The sequence below is a fragment of the Homo sapiens genome, chromosome 6, assembly GCF_000001405.40.
Source record: "Homo sapiens chromosome 6, GRCh38.p14 Primary Assembly".
NCBI classification, from domain to species: domain Eukaryota; kingdom Metazoa; phylum Chordata; class Mammalia; order Primates; family Hominidae; genus Homo; species Homo sapiens.
This window is the reverse complement of record NC_000006.12, coordinates 138,910,610-138,932,359: the sequence shown is the minus strand read 5'-3', so window position 1 is coordinate 138,932,359 and position 21,750 is coordinate 138,910,610. Positions and strand designations below refer to the sequence as shown.

General features: G+C 36.2%; 1 protein-coding gene across 19 annotated transcripts in view; it reads left to right on the top strand.

The window, feature by feature from the left end:
• Window positions 1-21,750, top strand: part of REPS1 (RALBP1 associated Eps domain containing 1) — an 84,761-nt gene that overhangs the window by 55,894 nt on the left and 7,117 nt on the right. For 4 of the 19 annotated variants that reach the window (XM_005267178.6, NM_001286611.2, XM_011536202.3 and 1 more), the window contains exons 9-17: window positions 2,262-2,383; window positions 5,879-5,959; window positions 11,236-11,323; window positions 12,044-12,145; window positions 14,733-14,805; window positions 16,384-16,502; window positions 17,599-17,663; window positions 19,410-19,595; window positions 20,989-21,084. In XM_005267178.6, coding sequence (XP_005267235.1) covers window positions 2,262-2,383; window positions 5,879-5,959; window positions 11,236-11,323; window positions 12,044-12,145; window positions 14,733-14,805; window positions 16,384-16,502; window positions 17,599-17,663; window positions 19,410-19,595; window positions 20,989-21,084 — 932 coding nt within the window. The remainder of the gene's footprint in view (window positions 1-2,261; window positions 2,384-5,878; window positions 5,960-11,235; window positions 11,324-12,043; window positions 12,146-14,732; window positions 14,806-16,383; window positions 16,503-17,598; window positions 17,664-19,409; window positions 19,596-20,988; window positions 21,085-21,750) is intronic. The other 15 variants (XM_047419431.1, NM_001128617.3, XM_047419434.1 and 12 more) reach the window with 6 other exon arrangements.

Below are 21,750 nucleotides of genomic sequence, written 5' to 3'. Positions count from 1 at the left end.
AGAATAGTTTTCACCTTTCAGGTCTCTTTTAAAAGAGTCTTGGGGACTCTTAGGGGTCTGTGGTCCACAGTTTGAGGTCTACAACTCTAGGAAAATAACTCTATTGAAATAGCGGTAAAGTATAATTATTTGGGTGACTAGCATTTCACTTTGCAGCCTCAAGCAGCTAGACCCACTTCAGCTTTGTACCAGTGAACCAGAAATATTCCCAGAATCTGTCCCAAATCATAACTGCCCTGAGGTGGGGGTGTGGTACAGCTTGGCCCTAAATTTGTCAGTAGAAGAAATCATGAGAACTGTGGTCTTGAAAACCCAACCAGGACTTGCAGATTGCCCTAAGATTGATGTTTAAAAATAAAGTAATAGAGTCTTGCTTTAAATAAATTCTTTCGAAAATTAGTCATCTTGTAGTTAATACTGTTTTAATTCTGTTTATTTTCTTCAGTACTCACCTGCTTTGGGGAATCCCTTGAAGATACTTCTTTATTATTCTCCTGGTAGACTTTCACTTTCAGTATATTGTCAAATTTATAGCTACTGTTTCCCTTTCCCTTTGTTATCACTGGGGATAAAGTTTCATAATTTTTTTTTCCCAATGAAAACTATCCAATGAGGAATTTGCTACTATTGTTTATCCTAAATAATTTTTTCATAAGTTCTTCTCTAAGAACTTTGAGTTGAGGTCTTCATAGAATAATATGTGAAGTCTTCCTACTTCTGTACTACCCAGACACTTCTATTGAGAAGATATAGGACTTAAGAAAGAAATAATTTCTGATCTTAGAAAACAAAAATCAATCAGAATACAATTCTGGACTGCAGATTAGAACTTGCAATGTGGTATAATTATAAAGGTATAACGTCTGGGTAAGTAAAAAGGAAATATTTTGAGGGAGGCATGTAACAATAGCAGAAAGGACATTTGGAGAACTTTTTCAACTGTCAGTACTTAATTGTGGTCTTAGGAAAATGGCAGTAAAGGTGAATGAAGTTAAATAAAAAAGAATACACAAGGCAACTGATTCAGTAAATACCTGAGTGCCCGTATGTATTAGGCCCTATGTTAGGCACTAAAACTTAAAGGATTTACTGATGAATAGATTGAGAAGTTAAAAGCTATACATTGCTAGCTTATATTATATGGATGTCTATTTAGAAATCTGAAGTATAGTGCTAACATTTAATGGCAGCTGTCTTTCTGATGGAGAAACTCAGGTGCTGTTTCATTCAACTTGCCCATGGTCAGACACAATGATATTGTAATGATATTTTTGATATGAGTTCTAAACCGATTAGGTACTCCCTGTTGACTGGGGTTATATTCAAAGCCAGCTTGGAAGAATCGGAATGAGAGTTTAGTGACCTTTGAAATTTCCTTCTGTTTTTAAATATAATTTAGAGTTATTTTAAATTAAGCTTAACTATGCTTAAAAGTAGAATATGATACCTCAAAATACTTTAAAAACCATTTTGAAATAGTATAATGGATTTGTAACTATCTCAGTTAAGTCTGTAAGTGCTAGTGAGCTTAATAATAAAAGTTAAGTTTCAGACAGAGCTTATTGACTTTGCTTTTTTCCCGTGGCTGGGGACTCTCTCCTTCTGCTTTGTGCCTTGCAAGTATGTTCTGTTTTTTTGTTAACAAGGGAGATTTGTAGAGGATATATGAGTGAATTAGTATAAATTGGCAGTTCCCAAAGTATATTCCAAGGGAATACTGAAGGATTTTATTTGATGAAAAGGATGTGTGTCTGGAAAAAAAAAAGTGATTTAAACAAAGCTTATTTTAAACTTTGAGACATCACAAGTCTTGATATACAAATGTGCATACGGATGCTCCAACAGAGAATTATTGTTTCCCCAAACTTACTTGAGCAGAAAACCTAATTTTTCAAAGCCACCTTACTGATGAGTATTCCATGGAATAGAATACACTTTGGGAAACTGGTATAAATCTATTTCTGTTATCAGAAAATTATTTTAAAGCATGTGACCTATTGCAATATTATTATGTATAACCTTCTTTTTATTCCTAACTAGATTTTATTTTCATGAAAAGCTGTGGTTTTGAGTAGACCATAAGTAGCAGGAATAAGTAATGTCTGTTAAAATGCTTACTCTGAGAACATGAGGAAAGGAGATTTAGATTATATATTACTACTTATGAAAATCATCGGTTGGCTTTTTTTTAATAAGTAAATATGCCTAAAATAAACTACAATGTAGTCTTTATAGAGAATTTCTCTATTTTTAAATTGCAGATGTTGGGGATCAGCCAGGTGAGGTAGGTTATTCAGGCTCTCCTGCTGAAGCTCCTCCAAGCAAGTCACCATCGATGCCATCACTAAACCAGACATGGCCTGAGCTGAATCAGAGCAGTGAGGTTAGCAAAGCTTTCCTTTTCTTTCATTAAAAGTTAACTCTTTTAAGGTAAGATGTTCCAAAGAGGGCAATTTCAGTCTGTCTCTTCCAGCATGCATGCATAATTGAGAGAACATATCAGATATACTATGATAAATGTTTGTAATTATGTGACTTTTTCGAGGTTTTCAAAGTATATATTCTGTCATTTGATTTCCACCACTTATCCCCATTAAAACCTTGTGAGTTTAGAGAGGCAGATTCAGAAAGTTTAACCATCAAAAGGTAAATGACTTGGCCAAGATCTCATATCCAGTGAGGGACGAGAGCTAGGATTTGAACGTAAGTCCTTTGATATCTAGTCAACTGCCACATCCACTGTGTCACACTGCCTTCTCAGTCCTGTAAACAAGGTATGTAATAGTACATTTGGGATCTTAGCATTGGAAATGATAAAATAAGTGACTGATTCAGTTTCCATATGAAGAAAGTATGTTTTACAACCTGAAAACTCTGTATAATTAGTTTTCTTCAATATAGAATGTTTAGCCATATTAACTGCATTAAGATGTGTCATATATGACCAAGCACAGTATGCAAAATGGAATTTGGGACACATGCACTGTTCCCCAATTTATTTGAAATTCCATTATGTAAAGCATCAAAAGGGCCACTGATCAGAATAAGGGAAGAGGACCTGAGGCCCTGCCTCCCCTAAAACACCTGCTTAGGCCCCTCTGTTAAATTTTAGTGCCCTGGAGAGCTCCATTTGGAAACCATTGCTGTAGCCTATTAGAGCAGTTTTCTTTGTGAACAAGTTACGTTTTTTTCTTATTTTTTTTCTTTTTGTAGCATGTAGGAAATGCTAAAAATACAAAAGTTTGTTCACTTTCAGGAAGAAATTTTAAGCTTCTGTCCTTTCCATGCCTTTTAAAGCCAGAAAAATGCTGGATTAAAGAGCATGCTAGATATTAATAATTTTGGACAGTTGGAAAACAGAACTAACTGGTGGTTTTATACTATTTCCTGCTTTATGACATAATTGCAGCCAGGATACTTGTGTCTGAGACATTATAACATCACACCATCCATCCTACTATTGGATGCAAAACCATTAATACAAGTGTTTTTCTAGATGAAGGGATTACACCTTGAAAGAATTTGCTAATAGAGAGGGTTTATGGAAAGTAAGGTAATTGTTGAGACACTACTATTTTTGCTGCATCTATTCATCTTGTGTCTTTTTTAAAAACCAGTATTACATTAAAAGAATATTTGTATTCCATTGATATCAGTTTGTAAATAAAAACATTCTTTCTAAAGCATCTCAAATCTAAAGCCCATGTTCATTCTAAATAAAATCGTATGTGATCATTAGAGACAGAAATGGAAGTCCCTTCTAAATTCAGGTAGTAGTACTTGCATTTTCCCTACTTAAATATTCCCATAAAGTTTTATTTATAGTATTTGGTAATGAGGTCATGAATGTCATAATTTTTTTTCGATATGTGAAAAATCAAAATGTTAATAAATCATTGATTTTGAGACATCTAATGATATTTCTAAAAATATCTAGTTAGGATATGGAATTTAGATTACATTTTAATTGTCTTCCAGAAAGCACTAGTAATCTTTCAACATAGATTTATTTAGCACCTGTGGTTACGGATAAGACAGTATAGGAGATGACCCTAATAATCTCTAACCTTTATGGAGCACTTTTGATATGTCAGTTCTGTTTAAAAAACAATACAAAAACAAACTCTTTATATATATTAACTCCTTTAGTCCTCTGAACAATCTTATGAGGTAGATAATATGTTACAGATGGAGAAACTGAAGCACAGAGAAGTTATACAACTTGCCCAAGTTTGCACAGCGTAACTGGGATTCCAGTAGTCTGGTTCCACAGCTGTGAGCCCTTAAAAATTAAGTATGAAGATGATAAGAGAGTCCCTTTGTCCTCCAGGTAACTTACATGCAGTCTTGTGAAACAAAGTTAAACTTCATGCCACCCAAATGAGGTACACAAGTAAATACCTTCTTTTTGGCAAAAATCTTCTGTAAACTTTTCTCCACAGTTAGTTAATTAGGATTTTAAAACTTCCTTCTGTGTCCCTGTAACAATAATTATTGAGGAAAAAACTAATTATATTAACAGATATTGATAAGTAACTTTCCTGAAGTGATGCCGCATGATAAAAGTAATTATTGTGGGATTCTTAATTCATGAAATACTTTGGATCAGTATTTCTCAGAATATCTTAATTTTCATATGAAAACTAATCTGTAGGAAAAGTCGTTGAATTATTGTATTAGCCGTTTTTGTAGGTAATTTTCACCAGTGTGCTCATTTGCTAATATTTAATTTTTACATATCTTCTCAACTTAAATGTCACTATTTTAAATAGTAAGTTGAACTTTGAAGCATAAAAATGTATACTTTCCCAAAGAGGATTTTGGTTTATGGGGTAGTTTTGTCTTTGTGTAAATATTCGTGTGTATACATTGTATGTGTGTAGATGTTTTTTCCTCTTTAGAGGATAACTGATAATTCTTAAGAATCAGATTTAAATGATAATTTTAATGCAATTTTAATGTAAAAATTCTATACCATTTTATTACTAAGATCTCCAAAACAAATGGAATTTACTGTAATTAATATTGACTTATCACTCCACCTGTTTTAAGAGGTATGATTTTTTTTGTGTACCTCTTTTAGAAGAGTAGTATTTCATATCAAAATACATCTGTATATAACTCATGCTCAGATGCTTGATTTGCTCTCATTGTGGCCGCATTCTGATTTTTCTAGCATGGGGTAGGGAGTGGGGAAGCGGGGGTGTCTGATTGGCAGTTCTGTCTTGTGGTCTGGCATGGCCCTGTTTGTAGTGCTGATTGCAGGGGTTGACTTGCTACAGATTGACATAAGCTCTACATATATTAATTCCAGAATTCTTTGCATTTTATCTCAATTATATTTTATTAAATATCTATACATATGTGTAAAATATGTGCACGTACATAATAGAATCATCTTTCAGGGGTCGCACTGGCAAGTCGCACTGACTTGCTTTGTTTTGAACAAAACTTTGATTCATTAGGATCACAAAATCAGTACATTAACATTTGAATGTTCAAAGAAGAATTTGATGTTATTCTTTCTTTCTTTAGTCAAGGCATGCCTCTTTAGCATTTTTACTTGGTGGACATTTATATCACTTAGACTTTGCTCCTGTATTGTGTTTTATTTTAACTCTGTAAGGCTTTAAATCTCTTCCATAGAGATTGCAATAAATCATTACTATACTTTTGATTGTGAACTCCTCACCTTACATTACAAGTGACCCAGAATAAATATAAAATGTTGACGGAAAAATAGAAATTACTGAATTTTGTTAAACCTATGAAACACAACTTGCAGTGCAACCTCTGAATTACTTTGCTAAATCTTCTCCAGTGATCTTTTACTCCATCTTTCTCATCATGCTGACTTGTCTCTCCTCTGTCTGTTCAGCAGTGGGAGACATTTAGTGAACGCTCTTCAAGCTCACAAACTCTGACCCAATTTGATTCTAACATTGCACCAGCTGATCCTGTAAGTCAATCACTTAGCTTGCTTGTTTGAGATTAATTTTATTAACCCAAATTTCCATTCATTATCGTTTTTAGCTGATATGCATGATTCAGTGGAGTGCTTAGAGGGAAGTGGCGGCAGGCTTTTTGGTTTTTGTGTGCTTAATGGTGGGAAAGACATTTTTTGCCATTCCTTTTTTCTAGTTATTTTGTTGAGAGAAAACTACGTTTTTAAAATCTGGTACATGTGTCTAGAGAAGCATTTTTTGTGACAATCTATTTTGTTAACCTTATCATTTGCTAATTAAGTGTATATTTTATATACATACTGTTTATTTCAGTGTAGTGACTCTTTATGTATTATCTGTATGCTTACACATCATGTAATATGTCCTACATATGTAACTATTTATGCAATGTCATCTTTTATTTTGACATGCCAAATGACATGGCTTTTATTTAATTAGTATGTTGAGTCCTGTTAGAGAGAATCAAGTTCAGCAATACAAGATGTTGGTCAAATATTCCGCTTATGCAAAGGAGCCTCTGTCTTGTCTTCTTGTGGCTTACTGTGTTGCTTTGAAAATGCTACAAAGTTCATATCCTGATTTAAAAAATAAATTCTGTCCCCATAGAGTTAATTTAATATATGCTACACCTGTCCCTTGGGTTTTTTGAAAACCTTAGCTGTTAATCGTTCTTCTCCCTGTTCACTTCTCTGCTTTTTCTTTTTCTTTCTCTCTCTGTCTTTTTTTTTTTTTTTAAGACAAGGATGTGCTAATAAGCACTTTCCAAAAAGAAAAGAGGGAGTAAGCAGAAAGTGAAGAAATGTGTAAAGGCAGAATTTTTAAAATGAGCTGAGTAGAAAGATATGGAGAAAATGACATAAGTCGTTCTTTCTAGATGATCTGATCAAAGACAGCCAGCATTTATTAATTAAATGTAAAAATGGTCTTGTCATCTAAAGAGATTTTGAAGAAGTGGCATTTAAAGATAAAGTATACCATTAGCAGTTAATGGGCCTTTGATGTGGTTTGTTTTTTGTTTTTGTTTTTTGAGTTGGAGCCTCTCTCTTTCGCCCAGGCTGGAGTGCAGTGGTGCGATCTCAGCTCACTGCAACCTCTGCCTCCTGGGTTCAACCGATTCTCCTACCTTAGCCTCCCGAGTAGCTGGGACTACAGGTGTCCGCCACCATGCCTGGCTAATTTGTGTGTGTGTGTGTGTGTGTGTGTATTTTTTAGTAGAGGCGGGGTTTCACCATGTTGGCCAGGCTGATCTTGAACTCCTGACCTCCAGTGATCCACCCACCTCGGCCTCCCAAAGTGCTGGGATTACAGGTGTGAGCCACCACACCTGGCCTGATGTCTTTTATCATTTTAAAGAATTTATATGAAATCTAGAGGCTGCTGTTACATTTATTGAATTCAAACAGATAATGTACAATTTTAAAATGTTTATTTTATTGTCTATTAAGTATTCAAGGACCAGTTGATATGTAGATTATCTCTGCCTTTTGCTCCTCATTTCTTGCTACATTTAAGGCATTTATTTTTTATTTTAGTCTCTGAAAAATGTAGGAGAAATACAAGGCAATGATTGAAAACTTTGCTGCTTATTGGCAGCTATAATTAAGATCTCTTAGGAATTGACAAGTTCTGTAAATTAGAAGTTTTATCTTTGTTTTCTTTTTAAGTTTAAAGTTTTGCCTTTAAGCTTTAAGTTTTGATTCTCTATATTATTCCTGTCTCATTATTGTACAGTTAAGCTAATATGAAAGTACTTAATGAAAGTATATGGGAAGGAAGGTTAGATGTAGCAATAAAGAAACTATTATATTCTCTAACCCTTAAAAAATAGTGACAATAATCACTCATAGTATTATGATTCTTTGTCAGGCCAGGCAAGAACATTATGTATAAAAATCTAGAACTCAGAAGCGAAATAAATTGACCTACGACTGACAGGAAATGTAGAGAAATAGTTGGTTGAGTAGCAGTGATATTATTGACATTTCTTGGAAATAATATTCAGATTTGCAGCTCTAGTGTCTAAAATTATGTGGCTCATTACTTTCCTTTGTTATCTCTAGTGTGTCAGGAGGCTCTAGGAAAATAGAGTGATTAATTTGCATTTTAAACTTGAATTTAGACCTCTGAATTGGATTTTAAAAAATTGTCATTCTTAAATATTTATGTTTATAATCTAATGCCTAGAAATATTTATTTTATGTTGGCAAACTTAAATCTGAACTTTGTTTCCCAACCAGTATTCTTACTTTAAATTTTCGGTTAGAAGAGTAGCCTGCTTTCTCTTAGTTGTGTCCTACAGTGTCTAAGTTTCTTAACCTTCATTTGATACTTACCTGAAGTATTACCCATCTACAGACCCACTACAGCCTGTAGCCACAATCCCACATGATCCTTTGCAAGGCTTTATATAAATAAGGATTATAAGTAAGTAAATAAGGCACATTCAGATTACAAGGGAATCACCTGGGGGGAAAAACTCTACTCTTCTATTATGAATTTAACATTTCTTACAGTATTGGAAATATTTAACAGACTATTAAAAAGAAACTAAATTGTAATAATTAGCCATTTGCTCAGTAAAAGTCAGTGCAAAGTTCCAAACTGGTCTGTAGCATTTAGAGACAACCACTACACAGTGCAGTGACCCCATTTGCAAACCAGATGGTTAGTTATTAAGCTTTCATAGTTCTGATGAAATTGAGATTCTGATGGTCTTGTTTCCAGAAACTTGATCTCTTTTCTTGAACTGCTTGTCAGTTAGTAGCCTTTGGTAGAATCTGCTTCTGCTAGGATATACATGAATGAAAACACAGGAAAATTGTAGGTGGATGAGAAGTGTAATGCGTTAGTCTTTGCTGTGATTGATTGCACTGCAAATATATGAAAATGCTAGTTAACATTCCCAGCTGTTCCAAGCTTTATAAATCTGATTTTATATACACATACACATACGTCGAATATAGATTAGATGAATGTTATGAATTAAAGCATCTAAGAAGTTTTTCTTTTTTAAAATTTCTAATTTGCTTTGTATTTGGAATAAGACTTATTTTCTCATGAACTATCATTTTTTTCTCCTTTGATCTTGCCTTATAAAGGTAAATTCTGATTTTCTTAACAGTTATTTCTGGTATTAAATGTAAATTAAGAAAATAGTAGAGTTGCTCCTAAAGCCATGTTTTTATAACCAACATATAACTTAATATCTTAAAGGTATTCTTATAAATACTTTCCTGAGAATGACTTATTATTATAAGACAAATCTAAACTTTCATCCATCTATAATGTTAATATTATTTGTAACTATAATTTTTGAGTTGTAGGGCAAATGTTAGGTTGATTGGTTAAGTACATGAACCCTGTCCAGATTCTCTGTGGTGTAGGGGCAAGAAATTACTTTGAATGAATTTGTTAGTATAATAGATGTAAAGAATTTGTTACAAGTTGTTTGAATTCAGAGATAAACATAAGGCAAGGAGATATGTCAGATAAGAGAGGGTATGCTGGAACTTCGCTTTCTCTAGCAAGGGCTTGGTGTTAGCACAGTACTGTCTCACCAAAACAGTTTCCAACTTAAACTGAAAGGCCATTATCCTCCACACTAAATTATAAACTTAATTCATGACTAGATATTCAAAATTTAGGATCTCAAATTCAGTCTTTAGCGGCCGCATATACAGAGTGTGAACTGACCCCTCATAGAAGGAGCTGGGCCCCCTTGGTGATGTTTCTCAGCTGGTCTATTGCTGTTAAGCCAGGTGCTTGATCTGGTTCTGGTTTCTGCCCTGGGAGTCTCAGTCCCTAAGATCAGGCCTACTGTGTCCTAGGTACACCTCTCTTTTTCTTCTTTTTCTGAGAGGCTACCATTGTCTTCATTCTCTCATCCTTTCTTTTGTGCTTTCATTCTAGTCAGAAGTCTTTATTATCAATTCCTTTAGTCCTCTAACTAGACTAGACTCTCATGAAGTTTAGAAATATCAACTGTATTACAGTAATGAAAAATGTTTAAGAAAAGTATTAGCTTCTTAGAATGGGAGTCTTGTTCCTCTTAAAAAAAATGGATTCCTTTGTGGCAGTTTCATGCTAAATTTTGAGACAATCAAATTTAAACACTTTGAATTAATCCGTAGGAAGTTTGTATTGTGCCTACTATTGCAATGTCATAGGCATCTCATTAACTTTGTTTTATAGGTTAAAGAAAGTGTCAAATTTTCTTGAGCAGTTTACTGAAAATGAGTTTTCAGTCTGTTACTTAGATTTTGGATTCTCATGAAATAGTTTATTTTAACTTCAAGGCTCACATTTGCATAATTTTATCAGATCATTCCTCACTTTTTAATATTGTCTTGAACTGTGTTTTTATAAGAGCATTTTTTAAATGTAAATCTCACACACACACACACACACACACACACACTTTTTGAGATGTGGTCTAGCTCTGTCACCTAAGCTGAAATGATGTGGCATGATCACAGCTCACTGCAGGTTCCACTCCCCAGGCTCAAGGATCCTCCTACCTGGCCGGGCGCAGTGGCTCACGCCTGTAATCCCAGCACTTTGTAGGCCGAGGCGGGCGGATCACAAGGTCAGGAGTTCGAGACCAGCCTGGCCAGCATAGCGAAACCCTGTCTCTACTAAAAATATAAAAATTAGCCGGGCATGGTGGCAGGTGCCTATAATCCCAGCTACTTGGGAGGCTGAGGCAGGAGAATCACTTGTACCTGGGAGGCGGAAGGTTGCAGTGAGCCAAGATCACGCCACTGTACTCCAGCCTGGGCAACAGAGCGAGACTCCATCTCAAAAAAAAAAAAAAAAAAAAAAAAAAAGGATCCTCCTACCTAAGCATCCCCGAGTAGCTGGGACTATAAGTCATGGGCTATGCCCAGATCGTTTTTATATTTTTTGAAGAGACAGGGTTTCACTATGTTGCTTAGGCTATTCTCTGGGCTCAAGTGATTCTCCTGCCTTGGCCTCCCAAAGTGCTGGCATTACAGGTGTGAGCGTCAGTGCCCAGCCTTCATGTAAATCTTTAATCACTCCACTTAAAATGTTTTTTTTTTTTAATTAAGCAGATACTAGGCATATATAGTGAGCTTGATTTTTAAATAGAATTCTAGAGCTTTTAACTTACAAAGCTTATTTTCATGCCTGCCTTAGTGTAAATGGGAAAGCCTGTCCACTGGTTTTTAGTTTTGTTTGTTTTGATTATTGCATGGCATTAGCTTGACATTTTAATACAAATTCTTTATTTCCTCCCATTTGTCTCTAGGATACTGCTATTGTTCATCCAGTTCCCATTCGTATGACTCCAAGCAAAATCCACATGCAGGAAATGGAACTTAAAAGAACTGGCAGCGGTAAGGAAGCTGTTGCTGGTTTGTATTTTAGTTTTACATCAAACTGAAATATGTAATTATTCTGTCAAGGTTCAAATTTCTTTCATCGCTTATTTTTTAAGCTAGTACTTTCTACAATTATGTATATGTTCATGCATATTTATTTATGTTGCTGTTTTTAAAAGGAATTTATTTTAAATTACGGAGTTTTAAAATAAGGACATTTGAAAATGTGACATTTCTAATACCCCGTGGGTTTTTATGTTCATCCTTGTAAATTTACGTTTAAAATATGTTAAAACTTTAACTGAAGAGATATATGTTAAAATAAATTTTGGCTTTGAAATTATATATTTTGCTTGAACTCTTGGAATGTCTCATTTTAGACTAAATGTTTCAGGGTTTCTCAAAGGTAGATTTTTTTTGTGTAAGTCAGCGTTATAAATTAACTTACTTTACAGTTTACATATGTAGTGTTTAAGTGTGCTGCAGGAATAAAATTAAGTGTGAACATGCAAATAAACTTTTTCATTATAAACTATCTTCTATTATGGCAGAAAATAAAATTATAAATAAACAGTTTTACATTTGTTTTTATTAAAAATATTATTTTGTCTTACATTTTATGGATTTACCTGCCACTTCTTTGGATATTTAAATGAAGTCTTACACTCTGAGCTTTATGAGTTTATCAGTTCAAATACCTATGTCTTGTATTTTTACCTATTAATTCTCTATTAGATCATACAAATCCCACTAGCCCATTACTTGTGAAACCATCTGACCTTTTAGAAGAAAATAAGATAAATTCATCGGTGAAATTCGCTTCTGGTAATACTGTAGGTAAGTGAAGTATTACATCTTCCATTTGAAGTTTACTAAGTCTGGATTTAGAGTCTGACTATTTCAGATGTGTATGCATTTAATACCGTCTTCACTAGATAAAGTAGAGGAGAGTGAACCCTTTCGAACACTTTGCCCTATCAGTGAATAAATGGTTGCCCATTGACTCCTGCTTCAATGCAGGCTTCCTGTTTGCCATCCCTCTCTGTGTAGCCAGGTTTGATCTTATGGCTCTTCCTCAGTGGTTCCTTCCTTTTCTATCACACAAGAAATTGTGTATACTTTCATTCAGCCAGTGTTAATTGGATACAGTATGCCAGGATCTGTTCTAGGCACTGGAGATTGAACAGTAAAAAAGTCTTTGCTGCTATAGAGTTTACATTCTGTAAGGGAGATAAAAGGGAGATAAAAAATAACTCTTATATTAGAAAGTAACTAATACTGTGAATAAAAATAAAGCTGGGAAAGGGTGGAGAGAGTGCCATTTTAAATAGGATGGTCAAGGAAGGCCTTACCAAAAAAATGTCATTTGAGTGAAAACTTGAAGGAGATGAATTCAGCTGTACAAATCCAGAAGGAAAATTAAGGCACAGCAAACAGCAAATGTAGAGCCCTAAGGCAGGACCTGCTTTTACTAGAATAGCAGGCAAATACCTGGAATAGAATTAGTTAGCAAATTTGGCAGGGAAAGGTAGCAGTGGTAGGATAGTAACAGGAGGCAGTGTCAGACTTTCTTTGACTTAGATGAAAAGCCAATCGAAGGTTTGAATGGAGGAGTGACATGATTTGAGCCTGCTTTTTAACTGGATCAGTCTGGCTCTCCTAATGGTAATAGGCCAAAAGAAGGCGAGACAAAACAGGACACAATTTAGGAGATAGCGGTAATCAGGCAAGGGAAGATGGTGACAGCTTGGTGTCTAGGGTGCAAGCAGTGGAAGTGATGAGAAGTGGCTGGACTCTGGCTATATTGTGTACATTGTGGAGGAAAAGACCTCAGGAGTTGCTTTTACCTGTGTGCTATAGGATGTAAGAGAGAAAGGAGTCAAGGGTGGTTTCATGGTTTTTGGCCTGGAGAACAGGAAAATGAGGAAAACTGATAGCTGTAGGTTTGTAGAGAAAGAATCAAGTTCAGTTTCATATGCTTTAAACTTGAGGTGCCTGTTAAAATATCCAGATGGAAATATGTTCATTTTAATGTCATTCTTGTACCAACTAGATGATTCTGTGATTTACAAGAAAAAGGAAAGAGATACATTTTGAAATACAATTAAAATAACCAGTCCCTTCAGCTTATGACTCTTGAACATATGTAGTAATATTCCTTCAGATTGTCTCTAGAGTTTCTATCTTAAAATTTCTTTTTTCTGTCACAACTCTTAGTCTATTTCTGGGATTCTCTTGTGCTTCATGAGACTTTGAGGAAATTGAAAATAAATGTTTCCTCTGCAGAAAAAGCTGGGATCCTTGGCTAATTTCATAATTATTATTATTGTATAAGCACATTTTATTCCCATGTCAAATTTTTAATTTTCACATTAACAATTTTAAAATTACTTTTATTTAAAGTATTTCTAATTTGTTCTTTAAAAGCGACCTTTTTGTCCATTACAGAAGTAACGTATTTATTGTAGAAATGTAATAGATAAAAATGAAATAATTATTCATATTCTCACTATTCCACAAATGTCTGTGATTAACAGATTCATTGTCAACTTTAGTTCTCATTCTGCACATATGTAAGTTATGTTTGTATCTAATGTGAAATTGTAATACAGTCATCCCTCAATATGTTTAGGGAATTGGTTCCAGGACCCCCATGGGTACCAAAATCTGTGAATGCTCAGCTCTCTGATATGTAGAATGGTGTAGTATTTGCATGTAACCTATGCACATCCTCCTGTATACTTTAAATAATCTCTAGATTTCTTATAATACTTAATACAATGTAAATAGTTGTTTTATTGGGCCAGGCACGGTGGCTCACACCTGTAATCCCAGCACTTTGGGAAATCAAGGCAGGAGGATTGCTTAAACCCAGGAGTTAGAGACCAGACTGGACAATATAGCGAGACCTCATTTCTAACCCCCAAAAAAATATACACACGCACACACACACACACAAACATACACACACACACACGCATGCAAACTATATTAAAAAAACGGTCATGCTGCATGGTTTTTTATTTGTGTTATTTTTATTGTTGTAATGTTACTTTATTTTCTAATATTTTCTGTTTGCGGTTGGTTGAATCCTCAGCTGTGGAACCTACAGATACAGAACCACAGATTTGGAGGGCCACATTGTATATGTACTATTTTGTGACTTATTTTGAATATTTCTGCATCATTAAGTATTCATTATTTTTTCTAGACTATAACTTGCTTTGTCTACTGTGTAAATATGCCATGATTTATTTGTAGTTAATTTTTTACAGTTAATAACACTAGGATGAACTGTTAGCCTATTAGCCAATCTTTGACTATCTCTGGCTTGAAACAGCATATCACTTATATTTGTTTGGAGTAGATAGAGCAAAAAGTAAAGAAATGATTATTATTAAATAGGACATATCCCATTTATCAGCAGATGGTTACAGTAGTTCAGACTCTTTTACTTCTGACCCAGAACAGATCGGGAGCAATGTAACTCGTCAAAGGTCAGTATTTCTGTCAATGAAAAGCATGTTAAACTATCTTGCTGCGTTTTAATGTTTAAAACTATTTAGAACCAAGCACAAATGATTTTGTTCTCTGAAAGCTGTTAGGTTACTTTTTGATTTATGTAAAAGACAAGTAATTTTGATCCTTTCCAACTTGAATAGAAAAACAAAAAGAACCCTGACTTTCTAAATGGTATGTTGTGGAAGCTCTAAAAAGAGGTGATAACTTCTTGACGATAGAAGTTTTATAAGTCCTTTTTGTACCTAAACAACGAGAATCTGTCAAGTAATACATGTATAGCCTTATGGTAAGTACCAAAAGAATTCTGTGTTTTAAAACACCATCCAAAAGCACAGCCCAGTGGTGGGCCACCTCCCCACCCTGAAGTTCTGCGTTACATATAACCTTTCAGGCACAAACAAGAAGGGTGTGGGATAGGGTGGAGGAGGCTAGAGATTTGTCTGCAAGGGCTTTACCATCCACTAAAAGCTGTGTGCAGGACAGAAGCATCTTTCTCTCCTCACTTTTTGCACGTGTTGAGTATCATTTTGCTGTGTGCCCAGTGGATGTAGCGAGGATGCAGAATCTCCAAGCAGCTTAGAGTCAGAAGGCTGCTTGTCTTCCTTTCTGATTCTTCATGTAGTTCTTCCTGTGTTTCTTAGCATTCTCAGTCATCTTGGATTTTACTCTGCTGTTTATTCCCATATATGCAGATCAGATTACCAGAGGCCTTGGAGACTCTTTTCAGAATATGAAAGACTTTGGTAGCAAAGAAGTGAATCTCTAGGGCGAGTTGAGTTTGAGCATAGTCACCTCTAAAATGAGATGGCCTCTGCGGACACATGAAAGGGTACTTCAGCTTACCAAAATCCAGAACTTAATAGGTTGAAAGCTAACCATATCTGAAAGTAGACTTTCCTTTATACAATTATTTTTTTTCAGACTATTATTACTTTTAATTGAATGGGAAAGCGTAACACTAAGTATGCAGTCTATTATGAAATCATGTTGACAACTAAGTTTCTTTTCAAAATTTTTGAGGCCGAGCACTTCTGTAATCCTAGCACTTTGGGAGGCTAAGGTGGGCGGATCACCTGAAGTCAGGAGTTCGAGACCAGCCTGGCCAACATGGTGAAACTCCGTCTCTACTAAAAATACAAAAATTAGCCGGGCATGGTAGCATGCGCCTGTAATCCCAGTTACTTGGGAGGCTGAAGCAGGAGAATCGCTTGAACCCAGGAGGCGGAGGTTGCAGTGAGCCAAAATGGTGTCACTGCACTCCAGCCTGGGCAACAGAGTGAGACTGTCTCAAAAAAAAAAAAAAAAAAAAAAGAAAAAAAGAAATTTTGCTTAATAACTTTATTAAAAAAATTGTTAGCCACATAAAATAATCAGTTGTTTAGGGTACATCATAAACAGTGCTATCTTAATTTATTGTAACACTTACATACTTGAGTGTTGAGAAAATGTCATGCTAATAAGATCCTTTGCTGCTTAGCCAAGTGTAAATGTTTAAAAAGAAAAAAGCTCTGATATCAGTAGTATGACCAATTATCATGGGGTGAATTTTGCAGGTCTCATTCAGGAACGTCGCCTGATAACACTGCACCACCACCTCCCCCTCCAAGGCCACAGCCCTCTCATTCTAGATCATCATCTTTAGATATGAATCGGACCTTTACAGTCACCACAGGTAGGGGCTAGAGAACCATAATATACATTATCATTTAATTTTAAAGTTAATCCAACACACATACACATTTTATTTTTGTTTCTATTACATGTCTTTTAAAAATATTTATCTGGTCGAGTGTGGTTGCTCATGCCTGTAATCCCAGCACTTTGAGGGGCAGGCAGATCACTTGAGGTTATGAGTTCGAGACCAGCCTGGCCAACATGGTGAAACCCCATCTCTACTAAAAATACAAAAATTAGCCGGATGTAGTGATGCATGTCTGTGGTCCCAGCTACTCGGGAGGCTGAGGTGGGAGAGTCCCTTGAACCTGGGAAGCAGAGGTTGCAGTGAGCCAAGATTGCATCACTGCACTCCAGCCTGGGTGACAGAGTGAGACCCTGTCTCCAAAAAAAAAAAAAAAAATTATCTGAAGGAAAATTTTGGATTAAAAGACAGCAGATGAGAGGCAATTTCTTTTCTTAATGACTACTTAAAGTGTGTTTGAGTGCAAATAATGAAGATGGGAACCTGAGAGATGTCACAGGAAATTTTAAAAGAACGGTGTTGTGATATTAAGGGGTTGGGGGGGTGGGAACTGATAGGTCTCAATTTGGCTGATGAAGAAGAAGAGTCATAACTTACCCAGGTTTTTAATTTTTGAAGAACTGGCAGTATTGTTGTTACCTTGGTTAAAATAGAAAAGTTAGGGCAGAGGATGATGAAGTTATGTTTTAGTCACTGTGAGTTTAGAATGGTGAGGAAAAGTGAAGTGTTAAGTGAAAGGGAAAATTTGGAAGTTTTCATTTGATACCTAAACAGCAGTCAGAGATACACGAAGAAAATCAAGATTGTTTGCTATTATGGGAATAGGCAGGAGTATGCCAGGAGGGCTTCATGTAATAGAGGTAAGAAGCAAAGTGAGATCTGATGAAAGGCTGTGAGATTTGGTCTTTAGGTTACATACAGACCATGTAACAAGTTAGTACTTGCCTTCTAATACTTAACAAACATTCTTAGAAATCTTTATCATGTAGTCACATTCATTCAGCCTATTTCTTCTATTAACAAAGTGATTATACAGTTACTAAAAAGAAGAACTTTTGTATTCATGCAGGACAACAACAGGCTGGAGTTGTTGCCCATCCTCCTGCAGTGCCTCCAAGACCACAGCCCTCACAGGTAATTCTCCAAGGTATTTATTACTAAATGTCCCATGATCACTTTGCCTGCTAGGTATTTAATTCTATTCTCAAATTATTTGGAAGGTCAGGAATGATCTGTTGGTAATCTTTAATGAGCATTTAATTCAGTGAGGCTGAATCTCATTTTGAAAGATGCACATTTCAAGAATGATCTGAGTTATTTTTTGAAAGAGCCTTAAAAGTGAAACAAATGATAATGTCTTGACAGAGAAGAGTTTAGTGGAAACAACAATGGATTGGGAGATAGGAAATATCCATTAATGTCCTGGGTCTAGCAGTGACTCACAAAATCACTTCACCAGGCTGGGTGCAGTGGTTCACACCTGTAATTGCAGCACTTTGGGAGGCTAAGGCAGTAGGATTTCTCAAGCCCAGGAGTTCCAGACCAGCCTGGACAACATAGTGAGACCCCCATCTCTAAAAACAAAACAAAAAAATTAGCTGGGTGTGGTGGTGTGCACCTGTAGTCCCAGCTACTTGGGAGGCTGAGGTGGGAGGATCTCTTGAGCCTGGGAGATCAAGGCTGCAGTGAGCTGTAATTGCACCACTGCACTCCAGCCTGGATGACAGAGTGAGACCCTGTCTCAAAACAAAACAAAATACCCCTAAATAACCTCACTGCATCTCTCTGGATGTGTTTACCACATGAGTTAAGGAAGTATAATGACCTCTGCATCCCTTCCACATCAAAATTAGAGTGCTGTAGTAGACATTTATAAAATGCTTTGGGACAGCCTTAGTGGCTAAAGTTAAGGATCACATTATACATGAAATGAAGGAATGAGACTTAGCAGGGACTTGAAAGATAAAGTGGAATTTATTGGGGAAAAGGTATTCCAAACCGAAGGTATGACATCCACAAAGCGATGGAGGTTTGTGTTAAGCCTGGCACATTCCTCAGGGGAAAACAAGTTAGTTCAGCACAACAGGAGTAGATGTGTGGAGTGATGAGAAATGAAGCTGTCCATATCGTAGTAAGAAGGATAGACTTTTTCTTAGAGGAGATGAAGAATTTTTAAAGGGAAGAGACTTCAGATTTCTTTCTTTAGTATCCTTTACTTCCTTTGTCATAAAACATCTCACACTCTATTTTAATTTCTTATTTACTTATTCTCTTCTCCTGCTCCGGACTGTCAGCTTTATTAGAGTATAAGTGGGCCTCATTTGTTTTGTTCACAAGTACATATTCAGTAAACATATTTTTAGACTGAAGATGGAGCAGCATTGGTCTGGCTGGCAAAGGAGTGGAAGATGAATTGAAGGGAAGTGTTCCTGACATGTTGGGAGGATAGAGCAGTGGTTTTCACACTTTTTAGAGCAAGCTTTTTAAGAAACAGTGAAACATTAAAAAAAAATAACTTATTTAAGGAAGAAACTATTGTGCATTAGTCCAATTAAGAAAAAAACACATGCAAGTGGAGAATGGGGGTAGGGCCAGACCTACCCTCTCCTTCATTGTACTTTCTTTGCAATACAGTTTTTGAAAAAAAATATCTTTTTATTGGAGGTTTATCATCTTAATTTTTTTTTTAGTGTCTTAGCTTTTCACTTATGGTTTAATCATTTCTTTAGAGCTAAATGTTACTATAATACACCTCTCTGAACTTACAGATAATAAAACAGGTCATCTTTATATACTAAGTTTTCGAAGAAGAAGAAGATGACTCTGTGACACTGATAGGCTGATAGAATGTGTGTTCCTCTGTTCTGAACCATTGCACAGGCTCCTGGTCCTGCTGTGCATCGCCCAGTGGATGCCGATGGCCTCATAACTCACACTAGTACCTCACCTCAGCAGATACCAGAGCAACCAAATTTTGCAGATTTCAGTCAGTTTGAAGTATTTGCTGCATCAAATGTAAACGACGAACAAGATGATGAAGCCGAGAAACATCCAGAAGTCCTGCCGGTCAGTTTTCGAGGGCTTGGCTAATTTTCTGCAGGCAGTCACTTCCCATACCATGTTGTGTCAACAGAGCAGATATTAGAGGGGACATCAGTGAGTAAAATATTCCCTGGGTCAGTGCTTCTCATCTTTTTTATTGGCCTCCAATATCTGCTGGTTGCAGTGTAATGCTTACTAAGTATCAGAGTCTGGTGGGGGTGGGGGATTGATATCACATGCAAAGACACCACCGCCTGGCCGTGGCTAAAACGCTGCTTTGGGGGTTTCCATCTTAATGCTAAGCATCTGTCTGTGTGATTTGGTGAAGATTTCCCTGTCATAAGAGGCCATGGTTACCATAGCTCCACTCATTGCAACTTTTCCCCAAGGGGAATTTCACTATATGTAACTTTTAGATCTAATTACAACTTTAACTAAAAACAAATTTCAGCCAAACTTCTAATTAAAGCATTTAAAATTTGTATGAGAGTAAGTTGCCTTAGTTAAGCAAAGACTATAGGATACCAAAATTTAATATTCACAGTGTTCTAGGATATTCTATTGTAGTTCCAATGGCAAGAACCTCTCTAGGAATCTCTGACCTAAATTGCTGAGCATAAATGTGGAGTTGGAGAGACCAGAGGAATTCTGCAATCTCTTTCTTATAGGTCATAGCCATGGAAAATTTCCTACTAGCTCCCTTTTAAAACCTACAACTTTCTGCCGTGCCCATTAGGGGACTGGGCTGCATCTAGGAGGGTCAGAGTGGGCATGTAGAGGTGTGCACAGGGTACCGTACTCACTCCCCTGGGTGGATGCCTCCCTTCTCCCAACCACGAAGACTTCCCAGACTAACCACTTAGAGGTTCGGTGCAGTGGCTGCATCCTCACCCCGTCCTCCTCTCCCTCACACATTTATGACCTGCATCCTCGCCTGTCCTCCTCTCCCTCACACATCTATTACATAGCTGCATCCTCGTCCCCTCCTCCTCTCCCTCACACATCTACTACCTGCATCCTCACCCCATCCTCCTCTCCCTCACACATCTACTACCTGCATCCTTGCCCCGTCCTCCTCTCCCTCACACATCTATTACCTGCATCCTCGCCCCATCCTCCTCTCCCTCACACATCTGTTACCTGCATCCTCGCTCTGTCCTCCTCTCCCTCACACATCTGTTACATAGCTGCATCCTTGCCCTGTCCTCCTCTCCCTCACACATCTATTACCTGCTCTCCCATCTGCCTTTCAGTAGCAGAGAAGGCTCATTTAATAAAGTTCCTTCAAGTTTCTTATCATCATCTCAGTTTTCTTGTCAGAATATTTAACATTTTATTCTGATTTGGTACATATTCTATATTTATGCATAATTACATGTTATGTAGAATTAATAGTGATAAACATATTCATTTTTAGGCTGAAAAAGCTTCTGATCCTGCAAGTTCTCTTCGAGTTGCCAAAACAGATAGTAAAACTGAAGAAAAGACAGCTGCTAGTGCTCCTGCCAATGTGGTATGCAAAATGTCTTTTATAATAATAATTTTGTACATCATAAGTAATGTGAAATAATTTTTAGAAATAAGGTCAGCCAGAAATCATCTAACCCATTTCTCTGCCTTTAACTGTAGTATAGTCAGTCTAGCTCAGAACAAAGTCTGCCTATTTAATGGAGATGATATTCTGTAATCTATGTTAAGTATGTGTCACAGGTTCTCAAAATTTAAGTGGTTATTGCATTCTTCCCACTATATAAGGTAGAACTTCTTTATAGGTGAAATTCAGTTTCTTTTATTGTAGTCTTCAATATAATAAAGAAAAATTATCAGCCCTCTAAGGTTGTTATTATTCCCTGTTCTCTTAACTTGTTCTTTAACTGTTTTAGGTATAATTTTTTCCCCCAACATTTTATTATGAAAACGTTTAAGCATACAGAAAAATTGAAACAATTTTTCATTGTACATCAGTAAATTCACTACTTTATACCATTATTATTTTAGGATACTTGCTTTACTACATATCTCTCCATGCCATCTGTTCATCTGTCAATCCTTATATGTTTTATGTCTGTGTTAGTCCGTCTGCATTGCTATAAAGGAATATGTGAGACTGGGTAATCTGTAAAGAAAAGAGGTTATGCCGGACACAGTGGCTCACACCAGTAATCCCAGCACTTTGAGA